Source organism: Homo sapiens, chromosome 13, assembly GCF_000001405.40.
Source record: "Homo sapiens chromosome 13, GRCh38.p14 Primary Assembly".
Classification (NCBI taxonomy): domain Eukaryota; kingdom Metazoa; phylum Chordata; class Mammalia; order Primates; family Hominidae; genus Homo; species Homo sapiens.
This window is the reverse complement of record NC_000013.11, coordinates 28,502,149-28,526,695: the sequence shown is the minus strand read 5'-3', so window position 1 is coordinate 28,526,695 and position 24,547 is coordinate 28,502,149. Positions and strand designations below refer to the sequence as shown.

Genomic DNA, 24,547 nt, shown 5'->3' with positions numbered 1-24,547 from the left:
TTTATTATTTTATTTTATTTTATTTTTTTAGCCAGGGTCTCACTCTGTTGCCCAGGCTGGAATGCAGTGGTGTGATCTTGACTCACTGCAGTCTCTGCCTCCTGAGTTCAAGTGATCCTCCCACCACAGCCTCTTAAATAACTGGGATTACAGGCACGTGCCACCACGCCCGGCTAATTTTTGTATTTTGTATTTTTTTCTTTTTTTGAAACAGGAGTCTCACTCTGTCTCCCAGGCTGGAGCACACTGGCCTGATCTCGGCTCACTGCAACCTCCGCCTCCCGGGTTCAAGTGATTCTCCTGCCTCAGCCACCCAAATAGCTGGGATTACAAGGCCTGTGCCACCATGCCCATCTTAAACTTGAATATTAAAGAGCAATATGTTGACTTCCTACTGGCAATGTCTTATAATATTTTGTTTAAACTTCTGAATAGCTCTACCCTGTCCTAATTAGTTTAGGGTCTGTAAATTAGTTTATACTGATTTAATTACTTAAAACATGATTTAATTAAATAAAACATCTGGAAAAGATATAGTAATAAATACAATTCAGTTACCTTGTCACCAATCTGTAGCTGTTTTCAGTCTCTGTTTCCATGTATATATTTGAGTTGAAAACACCTTTCTCACACATCTCAAACCCCTCTTGGCTTTGGTTTTCAGTCCTGCATCATTCTCCACCAGACTCTCCTCTGTATAAGCTCTGGAACATTATAACAGAAAGGCTGTCCTCCACCAGTGTAGCGGGAGCTATATATATATACACACACACATATATATGGCTTCCTTGTCTCTCTCTTGCCCTCTTTGTTTCCATCCTGTCTTAGTCCGCTTGGGCTTCTATAAAAAAACACCATAGACTAAACACCATAGGCTAAGGATTAAACAACAAATATTTATTTCTCACAGTTGCAGAGGTGGATGTCTCAGATCAGGGGGTCAGCATGGTCAGGTTCTGCTAAGGGCTCTCTTCCTGGCTTGCAGATGACTGCCTCCTGGGTATGTCCTCACCAGGAGAAAAGACAGCAAGGGAGCTCTCTGGCCACTTCTTACAAATGCACAGTCCTATACGTGAGAGCTCCACCCTCATGCCCTAATTATCCCCCAAAGGTGCCTCCTCTTACTACCATCACATTGAGATTAGGGTTTGAACATATGAATTTTGGGGGAGACATAGACATTCAGTGCATTATGCCTCCCAATGGCCCTGAACAAAGAGGGAGAAACAGCACATGCAGGCAGCAACATGGAAACCACAGTTGTCTTCTTGCCAATCAGAAGATTTTATATTTTGGCCATGTTTTTTAACGATTTGCTATTTGATACTAGAGTTCATGTTCAGATATCTGATATTCTGGTATACCCCTCTGAGTGTGTGCGTGCACACACACACACAAACACACACACCTCATCCCACCTAGGGCAAACCAATTCACAGACTTGACTGAACCAGCAAGATTCAGTCTTTTGAAAATTTAAACCATGAAGAGATACAAGCAGTGAGTTGACAGATGCAACATTGTAACGGGAGCATCCTAATGACTATAAGTACCATCCGTTTACAACTTGCTCATCGCATTGAGCACCTGCATGCCTTTTCCTTCCTGTCACCCTGTGAGAGATGCACTGTTTTTATCCCTGTGTTGCAAATGAGGAGACTGAAGCTCATGAAGTTGTGTCTCTTGCTGAGATAACCCAACTGGCCAGTGATGGAGATGGGATCCTAAGCTTCCTTGCCTCATGGCTCTAGGTGCCAAGGTCATCCAGGCTCCCCTTTGGGAAGCCACATGTGCAGGTTTTCTGGGATCCCATGAGATCTAAATCCCAGTCACCCCCACTTCCTCTGCCATCTCGCTTACCTGGTTATTTTGGTCTCCACTTGGCATCAAAGACTCCTCAGAGCTCTTGTGGAGAATCTGAAGCCTGCTTTGTCTCAGGAACTAAAAACTCTTTTACATTCTTCTAATTTTATAGACAAAAACATAAAGGCAAATTTAGAAAAGGTTTTTATGAAATGAAGACATCTCCATAAGGATAATTCTCAAGAGGTTTGACAGAGGACCAAGTTCAAGAGCCCTAATGTACAACATGGTGTCTATAGTTAGTAACAACGCAGGGTATGCTTGACAATTGCTGAGACAGTAGATTTTAAGTGTTCTCACCACAAACAAATAGTAAGTATGTGAGGGAATACATATGTTAATTAGCGTAATTGAACCATTTTACAATGGGTACGTATTTGAAAAACTCATGTCGTACATCATAAATGTGTACAATTATTATTTGTCAATAAAAATGTAAAGAAAGAAAAAAATAAAGAAAATTCCCAAGATGAGTGAGAAGGTGAGTAACTGTTGCTCATGCAATCAAATTCAACAAAGTTGGTGGAAAAAGGTTATGAATGAGAATTGAGTGTTACGGTACGTGCATTCTATAAATAGTGAGACTATGGTACAGTTTTTAACTTGCTAGATTACTCACCACTTTTAGGTTTATGTCTTCCTCTTTTCATTTGTGTCACTTCCCACATATGCCCTCTAATTTTCTTTTAACACATAATGACGTTTTGTAGCATTTTAACTTATGGTAGTAATATCTTGTAATTCTTTGACAGACCCTGGGAAATACTGAAGAAATTGTGCCTCAGATTTCTGTGAATTCTAAAAATAGTGGAGAGTCAAGTTTGTAATACTCTTAAAATAGTGAATTGAGAAACTGTAGGTTGACTTAAAAAATAGGTTTAAAAAATTGTCTTACTAGGTTTTTTTTTTTTTTTTTTTTTTTTTTTTTTTTTTTTTTTTGAGACCGAGTCCTGCTCTGTTGCTAGGCTGGAGTGTAGTGGCGTGATCTCGGCTCACTGCAACCTCTGCCTCCCAGGTTCAAGCGATTCTTCTGCCTCAGCTTCCTGAGTAGCTGGGGCTACAGGCACACCACCATGGCCAGATAATTTTTGTATTTTTAGTAGAGACAGGGTTTCACCATGTTGGCCAGGATGGTCTCGATTTCTTGACCTCATGGTCTGCTCGCCTCGGCCTCCCAAAGTGCTGGGATCACAGGAGCACTGCGTCCAGCCGACTTTATTTTTTAGGAGCAGTTTTAGGTTCACAACAAAATTGATTGGAAAGCACAGAGATTTCTTATATACCCTCTGTCCCAACACATGCGTATAATTTTAAAATAGTGGAAAGGTCCCATTAATTTAGTATTTTTGGTAAATTTCTGCTAAAAATCTTGGTGTAATTCCTAGGCACAAGAATTTCACAGAAATATAGTTGATAAACTTTCGATCTAAACTATTCAAGAGAAAAAACCGCCTACTGGGTTTTAAGGATCTTGGAGGACAAATGACTCACAATAGGCACTCCTATATTTCTTGAATGGATAATCAGCCTAATCAGGAAGTCATTTTTATTTCCTAACTTAATGCCATGAACACCTTTCAATAGCATCTCTTTGGGATGGAGAATGCATCTGTGTCTTCCTGGCAATAATTTTCTGGATGCGAATGCTTAGAACACATGAGGATAAAAATGTCAAAATGTGCCTAATTCTCAGTCTGCCCAGCTCGAAGGTCTCACACCAATTACCATTTATGGTGTCGGCTTCACGAGACGGGAAGCATGCCCGGGCTGTGGGCCCACCAACAGTGTGGCAGAGGACAAAGAACTTGCACTTGAGTTCCTGCTCTACCACTTACTTGTGCACGATCCTGTACAAATTGCTTCACTTCTCTGAGATTCAGTTTTCATTGTCTGCTAAGTTGTGCTTATAGAATTCCTGGTTTGGTGGTAAGGACATAAACGGTTGTTCACATTGTTATCCAGAATATTCTTCAACATCAAATTGCATTTGAAAACATGCCTATACAACCTTCCAGACCAAGGCTCTGATGTTCTGGTCAATACAGAGCATTGATGAGTTAATTGACAGAGCTATCCGTGGGCTGAATTGCACTAAGCTAGGCTCCCTCTGCCTCATTTCCCATCATTGAGGACCAGGCTGAGAAGGGTTTTGGGGTGAGGGGTGTTGGTGTTGTAGGAATATATACTATTGGTTTGGCATGCCTGTACCCTCCTCCCACAATCATGTGATCAATTTTTATAACTTATATTCCCCTTCAAGATAATGCTTCATAGTTTTCGTAGCTTAATTTGGGATTAAAATATTGAGAATGGGAATAGTTTGAGTTGCTCAGTGGCCTATACTTTGAGAGAAATAGCCTTCCAGCCTCTATCCTGCCAGAGTAGCCTTGGTCATAAAATTCCCACCTTCAAGTTTCATGGTAAGGACATGATGAGAAAAAAATCTATGATCAGACACTCTTCACAGCCTTGTGGGTTTGAACCATGTCCGTATTATCTTCTTTCCAGAGGAATCCCCATTGTGTCTGCCATCTTCACGGACCAATAGAGCTAGCCGGTTGACCACTTTAGTTACCCATCTGTGAAGTTCCGGCTACATGATTTGCAAGGCCCAGTGCAAAATGAACATGTGGAGCCCACCCCACCAACCTTTCTAAAAAAAAAAAAAGCATTAAGAATATCAAGATGGCAACAGCAGAGCATGAAACCAAGTATGGAGCCCTTCTGAGCCCGGGGTTCTGTGCAACTGAACGGTTGCATGCCCCCGAAGCTGGCTGTGCACCTATGGATTTTCCCTTAATGTCTTTCTCTTTCTTGGGGACTTATCAAGTGCATTGTTGATGATAATATTTCTAGTAAAAATGTTACTTTTTTAAAATAATGGTAAGCTTTCTTTTTTCTTATTTATTTATTTATTTTGAGACAGAATCTCGCTCTGTTGCCCAAGCTGGAGTGCAATGGTGAAATCTCGGCTCACTGCAACTTCTGCCTCCCGGGTTCAAGTGATTCTCCTGCCTCAGCCTCCCGAGTAGCTGGGGTTACAGGCGCCCACCACTATGCCCGGCTAATTTTTGTATTTTTGGTAGAGACAGGGCTTCACCATGTTAGTCAGGCTGGTCTGGAACTCCTGACCTCAGGTGATCTGCCTGCCTCAGCCTGCCAAAGTGCTGGGAATGCAGGCGTGAGACATCATGCCCAGCTGCTTTTGTAAACATTCAAATATGTTTTCTGGCATTTTGTTTTTCTGAGCCAATCAATTGCAACTTCTTTTTTTAAAAAATCAGAATACATATTCTATTTTCTTAGTTATTATACAGTGAAATATTCTTCAAATTATCTTTATTACTCTTTTTTCTTTCAAAACATATGGATACCAAACAATATGTAGATATGCCAAGAAGCCTAACAAGGGTTCAAGACAGTAGAATCATCAGTCAATCTGACTGAAACATCAAATGGATTATTTTTCCACAAGAAAGGAACAATTAACAGAGTAAAGAGACCGTCTACGAATTGGGAGAAAATATTTGAAAGCCATACATTTGAAAAGGGATTACTATCCAAAATATATAAGGAACTCAAACAACTCTATAGAAAGAAAATAATCTGATTTTAAAATGGGCAAGAAACCCAAACATTTCTCAAAAGAAGACATACGAATGGCCAACAGATACGTGAAACAATGTTCATCATCTCTAATCATTTGGGAAATTACAAATGAAAACCACAATGGGATAGCACCCCCACACCTGTTAAAATGGCTATTGTAAAAGATAAGTGTTGGTGAGGATGTGAAGAAAAGGAGACCCTTGCATACTGTTGGTGGGAATGTAAATAAGCACAGCCATAATGGAAAACAATATAGAGTCTCCTTAAAGAACTACATATGATCCAGCATAGAACTACCATATGATCCCGCAATCGTGTTGCTGGATATTTTCTCAAAAAGTGTGAAATCAGCATGTGGGAATGATATCTCCTCCCCATGTACATTGCAACACTATTCTCAATAGCCAAGTTATGAAATCAGCCTAAGTATCCATCAATAATGAATGGATAAAGAAAACATGGTATTATATATACAGTAGAGTATTATTCAGCCTTTAAAAAGGAAGAAATGTTGTCTTTGTGACAACATGGATGGACCGAATTGGAGAACATTGTGCTAAATGAAATAAACCAGGTGCAGAAAGACAGATACCACATGTTCTTGCTTATATGTGAGATCTAAAAACAATTGAACTCAAAGAGACAGAGAGTAGGATGGTGGTTATTGAATGCAGCCGGGAGGCAGGATGGAGAGATGAAGGTAAAGGGTAGAGGGTCACAGTAGATGAAAAGAGCAAGTTGTTTTCTTTGAGATATATTGCACAGAGTAGTGAATGTGGTAAATAATGTAGTGTACATTTCAAAATCACTGAGAAAATTTCAAATGTTCTTACCACAAAAAGTAAGTGTTTGAAGTGATGGGTATGTTAATTAACTTGATTTAATAATTCCACATTGTATTCATACTATATTCATAAATTCATAACATGACTTTGGATGCATAAATATATACAACTATGATCTGTCAATTTACAATTAAAAAATAAAAATTTTAAAAATTGTGATTTTTGGCCAGACAAGATGGCTCACGCCTATAATCCCAGCACATCGGGAGGTTGAGGTGGGCAGATCACTTGAGGTCAGGAGTTCCAGGACAGCCTGGCCAACGTTGCGAAACCCTGTCTCTACTAAAAATACAAAAATTAGCAGGGCATAATGGTGGGTGCCTGTAATCCCAGCTACTTGGGAGGATGAAGCGGGAAGAATTGCTCGAACCTGGGAGGCAGAGGTTGCGGTGAGCCGGGATTGCACCACTCCACTCCAGCCTGGGTGACAGAGCAAGACTCCGTCTCAAAAAAAAAAAAATGTGGATTTTTGTCTTTTTGACTTACTAATATTTTACTTAAAATTTCAGCTTCTGATGTTCATAAATGGAATAATAAGATTTGATTTGCTAAAATTTCATGTAGCATGTATCTATTTCTAATATTCATAAGTGAAATTGGTTTATATCTTTAATTCTTACCATTTTCTTATTTGGTTTTGGGATCAGTGTTATGTAACCTTATGAAACAAATTGGGTAGCTTTCACTCTGCTTATCTGGAACATTTTTATGAGAAAGAGATGATCTCATTCTTTTTTTGTTGTTAGGTAATTTAGGATTAGGATGATTCTGGATATTAGGCGTTTGTTGGATGCATTGTTTACAAATATTTTCTCATGTTCTGGAGGTTTTCTATTTACCCTGTTGGTTATTTCTTTTGCTGTTTTTTTTAAGCTTTTTGGTTTAGTTAAGTCCCATTTGCCTATTTTTGGCTTTTTTTTATGTGTTTCCTTTTGAGGGCTTAGTCATAAATTCTTTGTCTAGGCTAATGTCTAAAGAGCTTTTCCTAGGTTTTTATCCTAAGATTTTCATACTTTCAGGTCTTACATTTAAGTACCTAATCCATCTTGCATTAATGTTTGTATATGTTGAGATATGGGTCCACATTCATTCTTCTGCAAATGGCCCTCCAATTTTCCTAGGACCATTTTTTGAATAGGGTGTCCTTTCCCCAGTGTATATTTTTGTTGACTTTGTCAAAGATCAGTTGGTTGTAGATATGTGTCTTTATTTTTTAGTTCTTTATTCTTTTCCACTGATTTATGTGTCTGTTTTTAATACCAGTACCATGCTATTTTGGCTACTATATCCTTGTAGTATAATTTGAAGCCAGGTAATGTGATGCTTCTTGCTGTATTCTTTTGGCTTAGGATTGCTTTGGCTATTTGGGCTCTTTTTTTGGTTTCATATAAATTTTAGAATTATTTTTTCTAATTCTGTGAAGAATGATGTTGGTTTTGGAGGAGGGGTGATGGATAGGAAAGAAATTTTTTTATCTTAGTTTGGTCTCATTAATGGTTATTAATCCATTTGAGCTTCTAACTTTTTTTAGTCAAAAAGTTGTAATTGTTTAATTAAATTTAAAGTTTTATTTCTGAAAAAGAAAAACAAAGATCTAAATTTCTATTATCATTTTAAATATTTTAATATATATGTTCAGCTTTTTCTCAAGGAAAAAAATTTTGTCAAGATAATACTTGCAGAAAAGTATGAAGGTGGAAGTTTTTTGTTTTCGTTTTAGAGACAGGCTCTCACTCTGTTTCTTAGGCTGGAATGCAGTTGCACTATCACAGCTCCCTGCAACCTCCACTTCCCAGGCTCAATCGATCCTCCTCCCTCAGCCTCCTGAGTAGCTGGGACTACAGACATGAGCCACCATACCTAGCTAATTTTTCTTTTTTTCCTTTTTTTAAATTTTTTTTTTTGTAGAGACAGTGTCTTAGTATGTTGCCTAGGCTGGTCTTGAACTCCTGGCTTCAAACAATCCTCCCATCTCAGCCTCCCAAAGTGCTGAGATTACAGGTGTGAGCCAACGTGCCTAGCCAACATTTTTTTTTAAAGTTACTTCAAACCCCACTATTAGGAAATAATCATACTAGATCAAAATGTAACTAGATCAACATTTATCCACACAATTTTCAATTATTCATGCAGATAGGATAGATGAATAGATTAATATTTTTAAATACTATTTTTAGATAAATAGAAAAATATTTATAAATGTTAATTTTCCTCAAACTTATTCAAAGAAAAAAGAAAATGAAATTGAATTGCAAAAAGATTAATTTCTCTAAGTTTTCTCTAAGGTTAAAACAAGAATTTTTTAAAATTAAGGTATTAGAGCCATTTTTATTTACCTTTAAAAAAAATTTGGACATTATCAATTGACTCCCTGCCGTTAAAAGAAGAGAAAAACAGTAATCTCTTACTTCCTTCCACTTCTCTTCACCTCCTGAACTTTGCCCGTTTTATAACATTTACATTCTAAGCAACAGAATTCCTTACACATCCCATACATGTTTAGCATGTATGTAGGTGTATGTCTCTATGTCTTCAAATGGATTTAATGTTCACCTTTGGTCCTTTCCCCATTGCTCCTCATTCCTGAGTTCTTATATTTGATTGATTTTTTTAATTGGCTGGATTTTATTGTCATGAGTGATGGGCATGAATAGTGATGGGCATTGCATTCCCTGAATTATTTCATGTTGGAGAAATTCCTGCCTCTACCTTTCTACTTGAATAACATCTTGGCCTGTTTTCATGTCCTTCATTCCCTTAGAGTTTTGCAGACTGTGTTCTTGTCTTCTGCCCCTGGAGGTTGCGATGGAGAAGTCTGTGGCCAGTCTAATTTCTCTTTGCTTTTCTGCTTGATTAGCTAAAAACTTCGTTCTTTATCCTGGAATTTTAATAATTTCATTAACATACATATATCTTTGGTATTTTACTGTATTAAATTTTCCTGGAATGTCATTAGTTCTCTTGATTTGCAGAGTCTGTTTTTGTTTTAATTTTATGAGTCTTTTCTTATTTATTTTAAATAAGCATCGTCTTTCATTTTTAGATTCTTTGCTTTAGGGGCATCAATTGTCTTTAAGTTGGAATATATAAATCTTTTTTTTCCATTTCTATTAATGTCTCATTAATTGCTTTAATATCTTTGTCTGTCTTTTTAATTGCGTGAGGATTTTTTTAAATTTATTTTTTATTTCAGTAGGTTTTTTGGGAAACAGGTAGTGTTTGGTTACATGAATAAGCTCTTCAGTGATGATTTCTGAGATTTTTGTGCACCCATCACCCAAGCAGTGTATGCCGTACCCAGTGTAGTCTTTTATCCCTCACCCTCCTCCCACCCTTTCCCCCAGATCCCCAAATCCCCAAAGTGCATTGTATCATTTTTTTTGAAACCGAATCTCTCTTGCTCTGTCGCCAGGCCGGAGTGCAGTGGCACAATCTTGGCTCACTGCAACCTCTGCTCCCAGGTTCAAGTGATTCTCTTGCCTCAGCCTCCCAAGTAGCTGGTACTACCGGCACACATCACCATGCCCGGCTAATTTTTGTATTTTTAGTAGAAACAGGGTTTCACCATGTTGGGCAGGCTGGTCTCAAACTCCCGACCTCAGGTGATCTGCCCGCCTTGGCCTCCCAAAGTGCTGGGATTACAGGCGTGAGCCACTGCACCTGTCCCATTGTATCATTCTTAGGCTTTTGCATCCTCATAGCTTAACTCCCACTTATAAATGAGAACGTACAATGTTTAGTTTTCCATTGCTGAGTTACTTGACTTAGAATAATGGTCTCCAATTCCATCTAGGTTGCTATGAAAGCCATTATTTGATTCCATTTTATGGCTGAGTAATATTTCATGGTATATATATACTACATTTTCTTTATCCACTCGTTGATGGATGGGCATTTGGGCTGGTTTCATATTTTTGCAATTGCAAATTGTGCTGCTATAAACATGCGTACACAAGTATCTTTTTCATATAATGACTTCTTTTCCTCTAGGTAGATACCCAGTAGTGGGATTGCTGGATCAAACGGTAGTTCTACTTTAGTTCTTTAAGGAATCTCCATACTGTTTTCCATAGTGTTTGTACTAGTTTACATTCCCACCAACAGTGTAAAAGTGTTCCCTTTTCACCACATCCATGCTGGAGTGCAGTGGGACAATCACAGCTCACTGCAGCCTCAACCTGCTGGGCTTAGGCAGTCCTCACGCCTCAGCCTCCCAGAGTGCTGGGACTACAGGTGTAAGCCACCATGCCTGGTCCCTTTGTCTTTTTCATATGAATTACTTCAAATATGTCAGGACTTACCTTTATGTCAATAATTGGATTTTCAGTGCTATTTCTTGTGTTCCTAATTTGTATGTCTATAATGGCTAGTTGGACAGGTAAGGAGCTTCGAAGCTGCTACTTCCTCTTAACAGCATGTAAAAAGCTGAGCAAACTGAAAAATCAACAATTCTTTTTAGATCCATAAGAGAAAAATCCACAGGGAAAACTGCTGCCCCCAGATTTGGACAGACAGAGAGGTAGATGCAGAGAATCACAATATACTGGAGCAGAAATTTCTGCAGGAACTGATGCTGGAGTAGGAAAACCTGAAATGTAATTACAAATTGCTGGACACTGAGTGTGGACAAGTCAAAGACTCCAGAGGACCCAGTTCTAGTGGGGGCCTCCACGCTTGTGAGTTTTACCTCCAGGAACTCCACCAAGTTCTCATAGTAAATATTAGAGAAAAATTCTGCGCTTCCAGCAGGGAGAGAGGACCTGTATTTTGAAATACAGAGTGCTCCGTTCTTCTTAACAAGGTTTGCTTTCAGGAGAAACTGGTCAACCAGAGCCTAACTTGCTAGGGTTTAATTACAGCCTAAGTGACCTGGGAGAACGGAAACATCCAGCTCCAGCTCACCCTAGCCATCCTTTCCCACCTAAAAGGGGAGGAAAAAACTAAGAAGCACTTGTGAAAGGCACAGTTCAGAGACACAGGCTCACTAAAAGACAGGCCTGGCAGGGCATGGTGGCTCACGCCTGTAATCCCAGCACTTTGGGAGGCCAAAGTGGGCAGATCACAAGGTCAGAGATGGTGAAACCCCCGTCTCTACTAAAAATGCAAAAATTAGCTGGATGTGGTGGTGCACGCCTGTAGTCCCAGCTACTCGGGAGGCTGAGGCAGGGGAATCGCTGGAACCCGGGAGGTGGAGGTTGCAGTGAGCCAAGATTGCGCCACTGCACTCCAGCCTGGAGATAGAGTGAGATTCCGTCGGAAAAAAAAAAAAAAAAGACTGAGACCTAATCACAGGACTATAGGGTGCTTTTCCTCCCCCTGCACCTTACCTCCACATCACTAAAGGCCTATTTACAGCAGGTCCTTTTACCCAGCACATCATGTATGGCTTTTAGCAAAAAGTTACAAGGCATACTAAAAGACAAAAAATACAGTGTGAAGAGACAGAGCAAACTTCAGAAGCAGATGTGGCAGGGATATTGGAATTATCAGACAGGGACTTTTTTAAAACTGTGATTAATATCCCAGCACGGTGGCTTACGCCTGTTATCCCAACACTTTGGGAGGCCAAGGTGGGCAGATCACGAGATCAGGAGTTTGAAACCAGCCTGGCCAACATGGCAAAACCCCGTCTCTACTAAAAAAAATACAAAAATTAACCAGGCATGGTGGCAGGTGCTTGTAATCCTGGTTACTTGGGAGGCTGAGGCAGGAGAATAACTTGAACCTGGGAGGTGGAGGTTGCAGTGACTATGATTAATATGCTGTGGGTGCTAATGGATGAAGCAGACAGCATGCAAGAACAGACAAGCAGCATGAGCAGAGAGATGGAAATTTTTTTTTTTTTTTTTGAGACTGAGTCTCACTCTGTCGCCCAGGTTGGAGTGCAGTGGGGCAATCTCAACTCACTGCAACATCTGCCTCCCAGGTTCAAGCGATTCTCCTGCCTCAGCCTCTTAAGTAGCCAGGATTACAGGTGCCCGCCACCACATTCGACTAATTTTTTTTGTATTTTTAGTAGAGACGGGGTTTTGCCATGTTGGCCAGGCTGGTTTCAAACTCCTGACATCAGACGATCACCCCACCTTAGCCTCCCAAGAGATGAAAATCTTATGGAAGAACCAAAAAGAAATGCTAGAGATCAAGAGCACTGTAACAGAAGTGAAGAAGGCCTCAGAGGGACTTCTTAGTAGTCTAGACACAGCTAAGGAAAGAATCTCTGAGCTTTCGGATATGTCAATAGAATCCTCCGAAACTGAAAAGCAAAGAGAACAAAGACTGAAAGAAAACAAACAAACCAGAACAGTATATCCAAGGACTGTGGAACAACTACAAAAGTTGCAAATACGCATAACAGGAACACAAGAGGACAAGGGAGATAGAAAGGAGCAGAAGTATTTGAAACAATGACTGAGAATTTCCCCCAAATTGATGTGAGACATCAATCCACAGGTCCAGGAAACTCAGGGAACACCAAGCAGGATAAATGCCAAAACAAAAAAACAAACAAAAAAACCAACACATAGGCATATCATTTTCAAACTACAGAAAATCAAAGATTTTTTAAAAATTTTCTGAAAGAATCGAGAGGAAAAAAATGCCTTACTGATGGAGGAGCAAATATTTTATCTGACGTCTCATCAGAAGCCATGCAAATAAGAAAAAGGTGGAGTGAAATATTTAAAGTGTTGCGAGAATAAAACACCAACCTAGAAGTCTGTACTGGGCAAAATTATCCTTCAAAAGTGAGGGAGAAATAAAGACTTCTTATACAAATGAAAATTGAGGAAATTTGTTGCCAGTAAACTTCCCTTACAAGAAATGTTTAGAGAAGTACTTTAGAAAAAGAAAAATAATGTAAGTCAAAAACTAAGATCTACATAAAGAAAGAAAGAGCATCAAAGAAGAAATAAGTGAAGATAAATTTTTCTTTTACCTTCTTATTTTTCTTACTATTAATTGATCTAACAGATAAGCTTGTTCAAAGCACTAACAATGTATTCGGTTGTGTATGCTTTTGTATATACCATATTTATATGCTTGTGTATGCTTACATATAAGTGAAATGAATGACAGCAATGATACAAGGGGTGAGAAGGAGGAACTAATATTATTTTATTTTTATAGCCTGGCCAACATGGCGAAACCCCATCTCTACTAAAAACACAAAAATTAGCCTGGTGTGGTAGCATGTGCTTGTCGTTCCAGCTACTCAGGAGGCTGAGGCAGGAGAATCGCTTGAACCCGGGAGGTGGAGGTTGCAGTGAGCTGAGATCGTGCCACTGCACTCCAGCCTGGGTGACACAGTGAGACTCCGTCTCAAAAAAAAAAAAGATTATTTTTATAAGATATTCCCATTACCCAGGAAGTAGTGTAGTATTATTAAAAAAAAAAAAAAAAAAAAAGAAAGAAAGAAAGAAAAGAAAAAAAGAAAGAAATGCAACTGGTGTGCTAAGAAAGAAGAGAAAATTGAACCATATAAAATGTTCAACTGAAACTGCAACAGGCAGAAAAGAGCAGAAAACAAAAATAGAATACAAGAACAAAGGCAACAAATAGAAAACAGTAACAAATATGGTAGATATTAATCCAACTATATGAACAATCACTTTGAACATCAATGATCTAAATGCACCAATTACAAGATAGCATGAATCAAAAAACAAGAAACTCACTTTAAATATGAAAACAGATATAAATTAAAAGTAAATGGATGAAGAAACGTATGCCATATTAACACTAATCAACAGAATGCAGGAGTAGTTATGTTAATTGCAGACTTCAAAGCAAGGAAAACTATCAGGGATCAAGACAGGCATTACATAATAATAAAGAGATTGGTTCTCCAAAAAGACATAGTAATCCTTAACATGTATGCACCTAAAAAGAGACCATCAAATTACATGAGGCAGGCCCCGGGCAGTGGCTCACACCTATAATGTCAGCACTTTGGGAGGCTGAGGCAGGTGGATCACTTGAGGTCAGGAGTTCAAGACCAGCCCAGCCAACTTGGTGAAACCTTGTCTCTACTAAAAATACAAAAATTAGCCAGGTGTGGTGGTGCGTGCCTGTAATGCCAGCTACTTGGGAGGCTGAGGCAGAAGAATCTCTTGGACCTGGGAGGTGGAGGTTGCAGTGAGTTGTGATGGCACCACTGCACTCAACTCTGTCTCAAAAAGAAAATAAAAATAAAAAATAAAAACTCTGTCTCAAAAAGAAAATAAAAATAAAAAATAAAAAAATTACATGGGGCAAAAACTGATAGAACTACAAGAAGAAATAGATAAATCCACTATTACGGTTGGAGACTTCAACATCCCTCTTTCAGAAATGGACAGATTCAGCAGGCAAAAAGTCAGTAACGATGTGGTTGAAGCCAACAAGACGACCAATCACCTGGATATAATTGATATCTATAAATGATATCATCCAACAACAGCAGAATATGCATCCTTCTCAAGCTCATGTGGAACATTCACCAAGACACCATATCCTGGGACATAAAATGCACCTTAACAAATTCAGAAGAGTAGAAATTATATAACGTCTGCTCTCAGACCACAATAGAATTAAACTAGAAATCACTAGTGGGAAGATAATCAGAAAATACCAAAATACATGGAGATTAAACAACACACTTCTAAATAACACATGGGTCAAAGATGAAATCTCAAGACAACTTTTAAAATGTTTTGACCTAAATGAAAATGAAAACACAACTTACCAAAATTTGTGGGAACAGGCAAAAACAGTGCTTAGAAATTTATAGCACTGAATGTATATATCAGAAAAGAAAAAATATCTAAAATTAAAAAATCAAAGCTTCCACCTTAGGAAACTAAAAAAAAAAAAGCAAATTAAATCCAAGTTAAGTAGAAAATAAATCAGTAGAGCAGAAATCGATGAAATAAAAAACAGGAAATCAATAGACAAAATCAATGAAACCAAAACCTGGTTTTTTGAAAAGCTCAATACGATTGATAAGCTTTTAGCTAAACTACAAAAAAAGAGAGAGGACACAAATTACACAAATTACTAATATCAGAAATGAAAGCGGGGACATTGCTACAGATTCCATGGACATTTAAAGGATAATAAAGGAATTCTATGAACAATTCTATGCCCACTAATTTGATAATTTAGATAAAATGGACCAGTTCCTGAAAGACACAGTCTGCCAAAAGCCACACAAGAAGAAATGGATGATCTGAACAGGCCTATATCTTTTAAATAATTGAATCAGGAATTGATTACCTTCCGAAACAGAAAGCACCAGACTCAGGTGGGTTCACTGGTGATTTCTACCAAACATTTAAGGAAAAAATTATACCAGTTCTCTATATCTCTTATGTAATGATATGGTTTGGACATTCAGTTGTTTTCCTTAGGTCTGCAAACTCATTTATTTCATTCTGTTTTTTCATAATATTGGTCAGGATGAACTAGGTTATGATACAGTAACAAATCTAACCACAACTTTTCAGTGTCTTATCACAATGAGGTGTTTTGTTTTTTTTTTTTTTTTCATGCAAAACTGGGTGAGGGCTGACAGCTTTCCAGAGCAGCTCCTTTCCAAGAGATAACACAGAGTCCAGGGTACTTGCATTGTAAAGCTATCCCACATGGAACCTTAACGCTATACCACATGGAGTTGATGGTTTCTAAGTTGCCCAGGCAGGAGAAATGACAGCATAAAGAATTCACACACACTTGCTGGCCTGGCATTGTCTTGAATTGGCCTGGAATGTTCACCTATCAATTAGATTTATTGCTAGAATATACACTTTTGGGTCAGATGGTAGGATTCAAGGGAATGCAAAATGCCTGTGTGCCCAGGAAGAAGAAAACGACACAAGATTTGGTGAATCCATAACATTATCTCTGTCACATTTACTGTATCATATCATTCTTGAGCCCTTATTTTATTAAATTAATGGCCTTTATAAAATTACTTTCTAGTGTAAAGAGATTGGGAAGAATTTTCTTCTTTTATTTGAGAAAAGTTTTCTTGTAAGTTCTTTGCCAGTCTTGTGCTTATTTGCCTGTCTGCTTTTCTTTTTTCTTTCTTCTTTCTCTTTCTTTTCTTCCTTCTTTCCTTCTTTCCTTCCTCTCTTTCTTTCTTTTTCTTTCTTTCCTTCTCCCCCTTCCCTCTCTCCCTTCCTTCCTTCCTTCTCTTCCTTCCTTCCCCTCTCTTGCAGCATCTTTGCCTAGTTATAATGCTGTTTCTTTTCATCTTGAACAATTCTGTCCAGACCTTCTATTTTCTGTAATACAATGTGGATGACTTTTTTTTAACTCCTTTTCCACTATACTTAAAAACAAATTTTCCCCTCCGAGTTATAGTTTGTGGATTGAACATTTCATATTTTCTATATATTTTAATATAAAAATGGATAGTTGGAAAGGAAGAGTTTATCTGTGGTTCTAAGTGGTATGTTTTAGAATATGTGAACCTTTTCCCTCCTCTGAGATTTTGTTAAAATGCTCATAACCAGGACTCCCAATCCCCATGTAAGGACCGTCTCAGATTTGGGATTTTTTTTTCTTGTGATATGTTCACTTGTATTGCTACTATTCATCAGACAGAAGAGGAAAAAGATTAAGACACCTATATAGCTTATACCTCTCCAGTGGGTATTAGTGGGAGGCGTTAATGAGAATTCTTAGGATTTTTCTACTCACCAGCATGGTTTTGGAGCAGAGGGTAGGATTAGAAGCCTAGCCTTTCTGTGCTTTTCAGCTCTGCTCCAGAAGTTCCTTGGCTACTAATATTTGAGGTGTGTTTCATTAAGGTATAATTCCATCATTGCCTGTGTGCTGTTAATGAATATTTGGGGGTTGGTTTTTGTGATTTTTCTTTTAATGTGTTAAGGCAGGGAAATTCTTTGATATAAATCCCATCTGTCATTTTCATCTAGAATCTATTCAGTCCAATTTTGTACTTTTTTATAAATCATTGTCAATGTAATCTAAATTTTCAAAATTATTGCATACTTTAATCCAGAAGGTTTTTGAATGATTTTTACAAACTCCAGACTGTATCTGTAGATTTGGTCCCTTTGTTAATTTTTGTCTCCTCTGTCTTTTTTCTTTTCTTTATTAGGCCTACTAAAGGACTGTCTAGCTTTTGTTTCAAAATCACACTAAAAATGGAAATCCTTAAAAAGTTTAAGACATGTTTTCTACCCTTAGTAAGCCTTGAACAAAAGTGTAAACATTATAAAATTAAGATTTAAATAGTATGTTATTGGTTACAAGATAAACTTTTAATTTTAAGAATTAAGAAAGCAGATAGGCGGGAATGGTGTTTACTAGGGCCTCATGACAAGGTGCTATGTACTGAGTGGCTTCACAGAAATCTATTCATTCATGGTTCTAAAGGCTAAAAACCCAAGATCTGGGTGTTGGCAGGTATGTTTTTTTCTTCTCCTTAGCTTTTAGATGGCCATCTCCTCCCTGTGTCTTCACATGGTCTTGCCTCTGTACCTGTGTTCAAATTTCCTCTTCTTATAAAGACAAGTTATATTAGATTAGGGCCACTTTAATCACTTCATTATCACCTCTTTAAAGATCATATACTATGGTTTGAAAATGTCCCCTCCCAAATTCAGGTGTTGCCAATGTGACAGTATTAGGAGGTGGGGCCTTTAAGAGGTGATTAGGTCATGAAGGCATCTCCTTTCATGAATGGGATTAAAGCCCTTATAAAAGAGGCTTTGGCCAGGCGTGGTGGCTCACACCTGTAATCCCAGCACTTTGGGAGGCCGAGGCAGGCAGATCACCTGAGGTCAGAAGTTTGAGACCAGCGTGGCCAACATGGTGAAACCCTGTCTCTACTGAAAATACAAAAATTAGCTGAGCGTGGTGCTGGGCACCTGTAATCCCAGCTACTAGGGAGGCTGAGGCAGGAGAATCGCTTGAACCTGGGAGACGGAAATTGTAGTAAGCTGAGATCGCGCCACTGCACTCCAGCCTGGGCAACAAAGAAAGACTCTGTCTCAAAAATAAATAAATAAATAAATAAATAAATAAATAAAAGAGGATTAATGTATTTTGTCCACCCTCTGCCACATGAGGACATGCAGTTCCTCCCTTCTGGAGGATGCAGCCCTCACTCAACAGCAAATGCTAGCACCTTGATCTTGCGCTTCCAGCCTCCAGAACTGTGAGAAATAAATTTCTGTTCTTTGTAAATTACCCAGCCTGTGATGTTCTGTTATAGCAGCACAAGCAAACTAAGACCTCTTATCTCCAAATACAGTCACAGGCTGGGCACAGTGGCTCACGCCTGTAATCCCAGCACTTTGGGAGGCTGAGGCAGGCAGATCATTTGAAGTACGGAGTTCGAGACCAGCCTGACCAACATGGTGAAACCACATCTCTACTAAAATACAAAAATTAGCTGGGCTTGGTGGCGGATGCCTGTAATCTCAGCTACTTGGGAGGCTGAGGGAGGAGAATCGCTTGAACCTGGGAGGCGGAGGTTGCAATGAGCCAAGATCGCGCCACTGCACTCCAATCTGGGTGACAGAGTGAGACTCCCTCTCAAAAACAAACAAACAAAAAAACAAATACAGTCACATTCGGAGGTACTGGGGATCAGGGCTTCAACATATGAATTTTTGAGGGGACACAACTAAGCTCTCAACAAGTAGTCAGGAGAGACTTTTTAATGTTATAATATAGGCTAAGACACTAAAAAAATAGTGGCTCAAAAAAATAGATCATTTTCTCTCATGAAGCAATCTAGAAGTAGGTAGTATGGAGCTTCTCGTATGTCATGCAGTGACCCACGTCCCTCTAAATTGTTGCTGCTCCATTTCCCAAAGAATTGCTCTCATCCTGTGTCTAGCATGTCTAGTCACTCAGTGAATGTCTGTGGAATAAATGAATGAATAACATGGTGTGTTCTGGGACAATGAAGGGACTAGATGAAAGGAAGTGAGACTCTTGATAGGATTAAATAAATAGAAAATATGATTAAATATTGACGTCTGACCAGATTTGAGGAAGCCTTGGAAGCCAGAGGGTGTTGGAAGCAAAAGGGATGAAGCAAACCCAACTCATTCATTTTCTACAAATGAGGAAGCTGAGGCCCAAGAAAGTAAATTGGTTTGCCCACATAGCTAGTAAGTAATCCACTCTTCTGATTCCAAGCAAAGGTCACTGCTTTTCCCACTATCATAGGCACAATATGGATACTCTGCAGTTTTTAACATGGAAAGCGATGACATGATGTATGCTTTGTTGTAGGAAGGCCAATTTTGATGGCTTTTCAGTGTCATTCATCAATGACTATCTACTCACTGTGACTGACACTGATTTTGTGCACACAAAAGATAATTTTTTTCCTCTTGGCTGCTAACAGGCCCCCCCATATTGTTCAGGTTGATGGGAGGGAAAAGGAGATCCTTTGTTCTAGGAGAGGGAGTGCCCGGCCCAGCGTGTATATGTGTGTGTGTGTGTGTGTGTGTGTGTGTGTGTGTGTGTGTGTGTGTGTTGGGGGATAATCCCGATTGGGCCAGTCATGCTCATTCCACTTCCCTTTGCCAATGATTGGTCTAAGGGTTGACACGGACCAGTAGATATGTGACCTAGTTCTGGCCAATGAGATATAAAGAGTATCCTGGGTAGTTCCTTGAAAGAGTTTTCTATGACTTAATAAATAGATAGGATTCAGCAAGGAGAGGACTTCTTTGCCCCACCTCCTGCCTTGAATGTAGTTGTACAAGCCACCTTGTGACCATAAAGCGACATCAGAGTTGGCAGGGCAGAAGACAGGGAAGACATGCCTGGCCATTTCATCACATTGTGAAATTGCCTTATCCAACCTGAAACTGCCTTCTGCAGACCCCTTACTATGTGAGATTATTGAATTTTGTCTTTATTGCTTAAGTTGCAGTTAATCAGGTGTACTGTTACTTGCAACCAAAAGCATTCCTAACTGGTATATTCACCATTATATTTGCTTTTTAAACAAGCAGTTAAATGACAAAAGATCTGCTTGCAGTTCCCTACAGTTTTCTTTTTCACATATATTTATTTAGAGACAGGGTCTTGCTCTGTTGCCCAGGCTGGAGTGCAGTGGCACAATCATAGCTCACTGCAGCCTCAACCACTTCGGCTCAAGCAATCCTCCTGACTCAGCCTCCTGAGTAGCTGAGGTGGGTGCCACTGCTCCTGGCTAATTTTTTAAATTTTTTTGTAGAGACAGGGTCTTGGTATGTTGCCCAGGCTGTTCCCCACAGTTTCTATACAAAGAAGTACAAGATAAAAATTCAGAACTGTACATTCCAGAGGAGAGAAGGGTCTGGTTGACGAGAGGGCTCAGGAAAGACTTCCTGGGCACAGGGCACCTGGGCCCACACTCATACATGGTAGGTGAGAGTTGAACAGTCTGACAGAAATTGTCAGGGTGTTCTGGGTGCAAGTGCAGGTCCCAGCATGAGCAAACGATGACAGCTCCTTTGGATACCCTAGTGGACCTGGATTCCAGTCTGGATTCCAGACTTGAATTCCAGTTTAAACTCTTGCCTGCGTGTTCTAACGTTCGTGGGTGCTTCAGGAAGTCTGCTCTTTCAGTCTTACAACACTGCCTGAGGATCATCAAGTCAGGCATGTGTTGAGACAGGAAGCTCCGAGGCTGAAGAGCACAATAACAGCCCCCCTCTCTTACCCCACCTTCAGGCTGCAGTGCCTGCCCTTGGCTCTGAGCTGGGTGAATTTCCTGACTTCTTAATATACCTTCCTCCTGGGGCTGAGGTCTTTATCTCCTTCCTTTGTGGCCCAAGTCTTAATTTTAGTGTCAGGGGATCAGACCGACAGTCTGAAAGTTTCCTTCCAGGACCCAGAGAAGTCTTTTAAGCTAAAGGTACTCCTGGTGGCCTGTTGCAGACTTCCCAATTTTTAGGTGTGGTCAGGCTCTTCAAATCATCTTACACTATTAACGATTTTAAAAAAAGTACCATAAATAACAAAAAATACATGTTTAAGTGACTCTTGGCTGGGCATGGTGATGCCTGTAATCTCAGCACTTTGGGAGGCTGAAGCGGGAGGATCGCCTGAGGCCAGGAGCTTGAGACCAGCCTGGGCAACATAGTGAGAACCCCACCTCTATGAAAAATAAAAAATTAGCTGGGTGTGGTGGCACACACCTGTAGTTCCAGCAACTGGGGAGGCTGAGGTGGGAGGATTGTTTGAGCCCTGAAGTGCAAGGATGCAGTGAGCTATGATTGTACCACTGTACTCTAGCCTATGTGACACGGCAAGACCCTGTCTCTAAAAAATAAACAAATAATTAGTGACTCTTCACTTGCAAGACCTGGCACTGTGACTATAGAAGAAAAGCAATTACTTTAATATTTGGGGGCTTCTTTTTTTATTTATAAGGAACAGGTTTTGGGGGCTTTTCTAAACTGAAACTGTATTTTCAGTGGTTGTTAATTATAACTGCTATTCTTTCTAGATACTGAAATCACAGGATTCCTACCTTTTCCTTTTCCACTATCATTTTTTTAAAAAATGGGATAGCATTTTAAGTGCAAAGTACAAAATAAGCCAAGACAAAAGTGAGCCATGGCTTGCCCAGCCAGGCAGGGGGGACTGGTGGCCAGAAAAGGCCTAGGCAGGCCAGCAGCCTGTCAGCTTCCACCTCCTCCAGCTTTTTTACTGAAGCCCATACCTGTGGATTCTTCCTGGTTCTGGAGCTCAACCAGATCATGCAGTCTGATGGAAAAGGGAAGGGTGGTGCTCAAGACAGAAGCAAGAGGAGAACCTCGGGTGGGCTCTGGACAGGGTGTGCCACCTCCGCTGTTGTGTTGCCTGAGCCTTTAGCTGGGTCCTGATAAAGGTTCCAGCTATCCCGGGGATGCTGATGGAAGCTCAGGGAAGCAGTTGTCCACAGGTGTGAAACCCCATAAGGCACCATGGAGCCCTGAAGACCAGTCCCCAGGGGCAGGAGTGATTGCTGGGTTACCCAAGGAGAGGAGATGTCAGGACAAGAGGAGGACAGAGAGGTCTTCACCAAGATGAGCTCCTCACCAAGATGAGCTCCTCCCTCTGAGATCAACCTTGGCAGATCAAGGTTTTTGTTTTATTTGAGGAGCCAGGGTGGGGGAGGGTTCTTACATAGAGATAAGGATTTTGTGCTAGGACTTTGGCAGCAGAGGCTGGTAGAGAGAGAAGATGAGCAACTGGACTGGGGCAGGACAGAGAAGCAAGGGAGCAGGGAACAAGACAGCAATGAACTGCCCTGCAGGAACAGCCACGCAATCCAACAGTTACCCAGGGGCAGGGTCCCACGAATGGGCATCTGAGGGCTTCCAGTCCAGAGGATGGGGCTGGCACCCAGAGGCTGGCTTTAACCATCAGGGCACACTTGAAGTCAGAGAGGCGGCGGGGTCTCAAACGATGCCTAAGGGGAAGGAAGAAAGTGTTCAGTCTTGAGTAAAAAGGCTAGCAAATGTACACGGTGTGCTGGTGCCCATCCAAGGCCCAATCCCATCAGAGACCTGGAATTTGAGGGCAGAAGTATAGCTAACCCATGGAGATAAGTACTGAAGGATCAGTCAGGCAGCAGGCAGGAGGCATATGGCAAACATTACTCACGTAAACATACTTAACACTTATCCAGTGCTTAGTTTGGTCCAGACACTATTATAAATGCTTTTCTGGATTCTTCCTTTAATCCTCACAACAACCCTACTATTCTATCATCATCCCTGCTTTGGAGATTAAGAGACTAGAGCCCAGAGACATTAGGTGGCTTGCCCAAGGTCAGATATCCTGCAAGAGGCAGAGTCAAGATTCAAACCCCCGGTAGGCTGGCCTAGGAGCTGTGCACAGACCCACTCTGGCAGTAGAAGTTCTTTGCCCTCTGCTCTATGTTGCTTTCTGGGTGCAAGTGACCCTGGGCCCAAAGGTGGCAATCTTACCTAAATAAATTCTGAGCTGACCTGCAGGCAAATCCTGCCTGCCTTTCACTGACTGATGAGATCATCTCACAAGCATCCAGAGAACAGAGCAATGCATCTTTAGGCTCTCTCCTTCTGTGAAGAGGCCAGAAGGCATGGGGATCGTGTGGGGAGACGCTCTCAGCAATAGTCTGAGAAGGTCAAGGGTTACCCCTCCATTCTGATTCAGGTGTGACTGGCCAAGCACATCACCTCGCTGCCTCTTTCCTCAAAGCAAGATCAGGTGATTGGACTAGATCTATAAGGTCCACTTGCACACTAAGATTGTATGATTTTGTGTTTATCTTTACCAATCAACCTGCTGAATTTCTTTCCTTTTTCAATCATGGGGACTTGTGCATAAGTTCTAGAAAAAAATGGCTAATGGTCTTGCAATATTATCTTCCTGTTCCCAAATTGCCTAGAATGCTTGCCAACAAATCCTGTTTGTTTTGTTTTGTTTTAAAAACATAGTTTTTAAAGTCCTTTTTAATAATGTCATTAGACGATGCAGCATGGGTTTTAATCCTCTCACCCCAAATTTCATTTTCTCTACTTCATGATCTCCAGCCATCATTTTCAAATAAATAACATGGAGAAGAAAAGGGATTTTTAAAGGAATTTATTTAATTTTCAACAAATAAAATGAAAAAGAAAAGTGATTTATTTTCCTCCTCTCCATCATATAGATAGTAATTTTCTGGATTTTTCCTTTCAAAGGGTTTTCCTGTTCTTTTTCTTCAGCTGCATTGTTTATATGTTTTTTACTTCTCCGTGCTACTTCTTTCTGCAGCAGGCTTTCCATATCAACTAGGATTTGTTTCCTCTCTGATTGCTTTACACCTCTTCATGCCTCTTCATCACACGCACACACAATTTGCTAGAAACTCACGGGGAGGACATATGTCTTCCTATCAGTGAAACCAAAGCTCTGGCCAACAGGTTACATTCATTATCCCGCCTTTTCTCTGTAGCCTCAGGCTCAGATCCTGAAATTCACTTTGGACCAATTTCAGACTAGAAGAGAAAATTAACTTTTGCTCTGAAAAAATTGTAAGCATATGCATAAGAGGAAAGAAATGTTCATAAATTAGGTCTGTTTCAATATTATCAATACATGGCCTATCATGTTTCATCTTCACTCCTCTTGGATAATTTTTTAAATTGAGGCATAGGAAATGTACATATTTTTGTGGTACGTGTGAAAATTTAACATATTCATATAATTTGTAAAGATAAAATCGGTGTAATTGGGGTCTTGGATAATTTTGAAGCAAATCA

The 24,547-nt window shown here is 39.9% G+C and overlaps 2 annotated features.

The window, feature by feature from the left end:
* Positions 15,750 to 16,044: a silencer, noted in NCBI's record as "tiled region #5274; HepG2 Repressive non-DNase unmatched - State 24:Quies, and K562 Repressive DNase matched - State 9:DNaseU". NCBI's record gives its function as "represses a minimal TATA promoter and a strong SV40 promoter by Sharpr-MPRA in HepG2 and K562 cells {active_cell/tissue: HepG2 | K562}" and the evidence as "EXISTENCE:reporter gene assay evidence [ECO:0000049][PMID:27701403]".
* Positions 22,174 to 22,674: an enhancer, noted in NCBI's record as "H3K4me1 hESC enhancer chr13:29078159-29078659 (GRCh37/hg19 assembly coordinates)". NCBI's record gives its function as "activates a minimal SCP1, AML or CMV promoter by ChIP-STARR-seq in naive H9 embryonic stem cells {active_cell/tissue: H9 hESC(naive)}" and the evidence as "EXISTENCE:reporter gene assay evidence [ECO:0000049][PMID:30033119]".